General features: G+C 44.6%; 2 annotated features.

Moving 5' to 3' along the window:
• Positions 1,860-3,059: an enhancer, noted in NCBI's record as "CDK7 strongly-dependent group 2 enhancer chr2:155956194-155957393 (GRCh37/hg19 assembly coordinates)". NCBI's record gives its function as "activates an origin of replication core promoter dependent on BRD2, BRD4, P300/CBP, MED14 and CDK7 cofactors, with strong dependence on CDK7, by STARR-seq in HCT116 cells {active_cell/tissue: HCT116}" and the evidence as "EXISTENCE:reporter gene assay evidence [ECO:0000049][PMID:35650434]".
• Positions 2,036-2,536: an enhancer, noted in NCBI's record as "H3K27ac hESC enhancer chr2:155956717-155957217 (GRCh37/hg19 assembly coordinates)". NCBI's record gives its function as "activates a minimal SCP1, AML or CMV promoter by ChIP-STARR-seq in primed H9 embryonic stem cells {active_cell/tissue: H9 hESC(primed)}" and the evidence as "EXISTENCE:reporter gene assay evidence [ECO:0000049][PMID:30033119]".

Below are 3,895 nucleotides of genomic sequence, written 5' to 3'. Positions count from 1 at the left end.
TTAATTGTGAAGAAAATGGGAAAATATCGCCAGGGCTTTTCAGAGACCTTTGCAGCAGCCCCTCCCTTCACAGATCAGAGGCCTAGGAGGAAAAAATGGTATTGTGGGCCAGGCCCAGGGTCCCCCTGTTGTGTGAAGCCTAGGGACTTGGTGCCCTGCATCCCAGCTGCTCTAGCCATGGCTAAAAGGGGCCAAGGTACAGCTTGGTCTGTGCCTTCAGAGGGTGGAAGCCCCCAGCCTTGGCAGTTTCATGTGGTGTTGGGCCTGTGGGTGCACAGAAGTCAAGAACTTGGGTTTGGGAACCCCTGCGTAGATTTCAAAGAATGTATGGAAACATGTAGATGTCCAAGCAGAAGTCTGCTTCAAGGTTGGAGCCCTCATGGAGAACCTCTGCTAGGGCAGTGCAGAAGGGAAATGTGGGTTTGGAGCCCCCACACAGAGTCCCCACTGGGCACTGCCTAGTGGAGCTGTGAGAAGAGGGCCACTATCCTCCCGACCCCAGAATGGTAGATCCACTGACAGCTTGTACCATGTGCTTGGAAAAGCCACAGACACTTAATGCCAGCCCATAAAAGCAGCTGGGAGGAGGTCTGTACCCTGGAAAGCCACAGAGGCAGAACTGTGCAAGGCTGTGGGAGCCCATCTCTTGCCATCAGTGTGACGTGGGTGTGAGACATGAAGTCAAAAAAGATTTTGGATCTTTAAGATTTGACTGCCCCATTGGATTTTGGACTTGCATGGGGCCTGTAGCCCTTTCCTTTGGCCAATGTCTCCCACTTGGAATGTGTGTATTTACCCAGTGCTTGTACCCCCATTGTATCTAGGAAATAACTAACTTGCTTTTGACTTTACAGGCTTATAGGCAGATGGGACTTGCCTTTTCTCAGATGATACCTTGGACTATGAACTTTTGACTTAATGCTAAAATGAGTTAAGACTTTGGGGGACTTTTGGGAAAGCATGATTTGTTTTGAAATGTGAGGACATGAGATTTGGAAGGGGCTAAGGTAGAATGGTATTGTTTGGCTGTGTCCCCACTCAAATCTCACCTTGAACTATAATAATACCCATGTGTCAAGGGCAGGGTCAGGTGGAGATAACTGAATCGTGGGGGTGGTTTTCCTCTCTACTGTTGTTGTGGTAGTTAATAAGTCTCAAAAGATCTGATGGTTTTATAAATGTGAATTTCCCTGCACAAGCTCTCTTGCCTGCCACCACATAAGGCATGACTTTCCTCCTCTTTCACCTTCCACCATAATTGTGAGGCCTCCCCAGCCATGTGGATCTGTGAATCAATTAAACCTCTATCCTTAATAAATCACCCAATCTTGGGTGTGTCTTTATTAGTAGCATGAGAACAGACTAATCCAGTTATCTTGAATTTCTTTGAGATTCCTCGAAACAGCTAATTTTGAATTATCTGTCTGAAAAGTTACAGATCTCTTTCTCCAGGTTTGGTTCCTGGTGCCTTATTTAGTTCATTTGGTGAGGTAATGTTTTCTTGAATAGTCTTGATGCTTGTAGTTGTTTGTTAGTGACTAGGCATTGAAGAGTTATGTACTTACTGTCTTCACAGTGTGGACTTGTTTGTGGAAGGCTTTCCAGTTTCTGAAAAGGACTTGGGCCCCAAACCCAATAACTCTGTGTTTTCTGCAGATTTGTAGAGGTACCACTTTGGTGGTCTTGGATAAGATCTGGAAGAATATTCTAAATTACCAGACAGAGACTTTTTATTTTTCTTGCTTTTTCCCAAACAAATGGAGTATCTCTCTCTCTGTGCTGAGCCACCTGGAACTGGGGTTGTGGAGATGCAAACACACCTTTGATCACCACCACTGGGTCATACTTAAAGCCAGCACAGCACTGGATCTTGCCCCTGGCTAACATCTATTTTCCCTTAAGGCCCAAGGACTATATAATCAGCAGGTTGTGAAGCCATCTAGGTTTGTGTTCTCTTCAAGACAAGAAGTTACCCAGGCCCTATGTACATATAGAGATGCTGTCTGGGAGCCAGGGATCAGAGTAAAAAACCTTAGAAATTTATTGAAGTTCTATTCTACCATGGCTAAGCTGACACTCAAACTACAATGCAAAATCCTTCTCACTCTTTCCTCCTCTTTTTCCAAGCAGAGCAGCCTTTCCTTATAACCACCACCAACAACAACCAACAGGGGGTTCTGGCAGGCCATTGCCAATGTTCACTTAAAGCCCAAAGGCTCTTCAGTTTTTCTCACACAGAAGGAGTCTCTTCCTATAGCCACCGTAGCTGGGAATGTGCTGAGTCACACCTGAAGCCAGTATGTCTCAGAGCCTAAGGCCCCCAGCACACTACCTGGGTATTGCCACTGGTCATTTGGTGCCCACGGGCTCTTTTGTCAGCAGTTAATAAATCCTGCCAGGACTGAGTACTTCCCTTCAAGGAAGCAGGTTCCCTTTTGGCCCAATTATGTCTGGAAATGTAGTCTGTGAGGTTGGACCTGAAATGGACCTCACAACTTTGCCCAGTGCCCTATCCTCCTGTGGCTAAGCTGGTATCCAAGATGCAAGACAAAGTCCTCTTTACTCTTCACTCTCTTCTCCCTAAGCAGAAGGATGGAGTCCCTTTTGTTGTTGTGAGCTGTGCTGCCTGGGATTGCATTAGGGGTGGTCTAAGCACTCCCTTAGCTGTTCCGGCTTGTGTCTCCCAAGGTCACATGCTGCCCAGTTCTCTGGCTCTGAGCCAAGCCCAGCATGAGCAATTGCATAGGAATTTCAGTCCTAATGTCTTAGACTGCCTTTCAAGTTTACCTGGGGCCCCAGAGCACTTTGGCCCATGGTGATTAAATCTTGCTGAGTAACTGAAGTTCTGACCACTGGGATGGTATATTCCCTTCTGACTAGGTCTGGTCCAAGTGCTCCCTCCATGCATGCATCCTGGCTGACCCTAGTATAACTTTGCCCTCCACTGGGACAGGATGAATTCAATGCGACGTCCCACAGTTGCTATGCACTTTGTCCTCCAAGTGCATAGGCTCTCTCTTGATGGCTCACAGCCACTGCCAAAGGACAATGAAGGGGTGGAATTGGTGATTTTATACTGTCTATCCTGTCCTCCTTAATGCTTCTTTCAGTGATATGAAGTTAAAACCAGATACTGTGATTTTGGTTTTTGTGATGGTGCTTATTTGTGTGCAGGTAGTTGTTAAAATTTGGTGTCCCTGCAGGGCAGATGAATAGTGTAGGCCTCTATTTCACAACCTTGCTCTATCCTCTAGATGACATTTAGATGAGACTTTGAACTTTAGACTTTAGAGATGATGCTAAAAATGAGTTAAGATTGTGGAGGCTGTTGAGTTGTCATGAATGTATGTTTTGTGCAAAAATGACATTAATTTTGGGGAGCTGGAAGGCAGAATGATATGGACTGAATTGTGTCCCCCTCCCTCAAAATAGTATGTTAAAGCCTTAAGTTTCAAAGTGACCCCTTTGAGATAAGTTTTTTAAGGAGGTAATTAAGGTAAAATGAGGTTATAACAGTGTGGTCCTAAAGCAATATTGGTATTCTTATAAGAAGAAGATACACAGGAGTCCTGTTTATCTCCACTAGTACACAAAGGAAAGGTCATGTAAGGACACAATGAGGCATCTGGACATAAGCCAAGAAGAAAGGTCTCACCAAAAACCAACATTGATGACACCTTGATTTTGGATGTATAGCCTCCACAACTGTAAGAAAATTTATTTCTGTTATTTAAGCCACCTAGACTATTGTATTTTATCATGGCAGTCCTAGCAAACTAATACAATCAATAAGCGGGTTGATAAAATTGTTAAAAGTATAGTATGAATTTCTTTCCTTTTGATGTAAAGTGTTTCTACTTTCTATTCAATGTCCTTCAATGTCTTCTTACTCCCA

The sequence above is a fragment of the Homo sapiens genome, chromosome 2 (genome assembly GCF_000001405.40).
Source record: "Homo sapiens chromosome 2, GRCh38.p14 Primary Assembly".
NCBI lineage: Eukaryota > Metazoa > Chordata > Mammalia > Primates > Hominidae > Homo > Homo sapiens.
The sequence above is the reverse complement of the archived record's forward strand: the minus strand, read 5'-3'. Positions and strand labels throughout refer to the sequence as shown.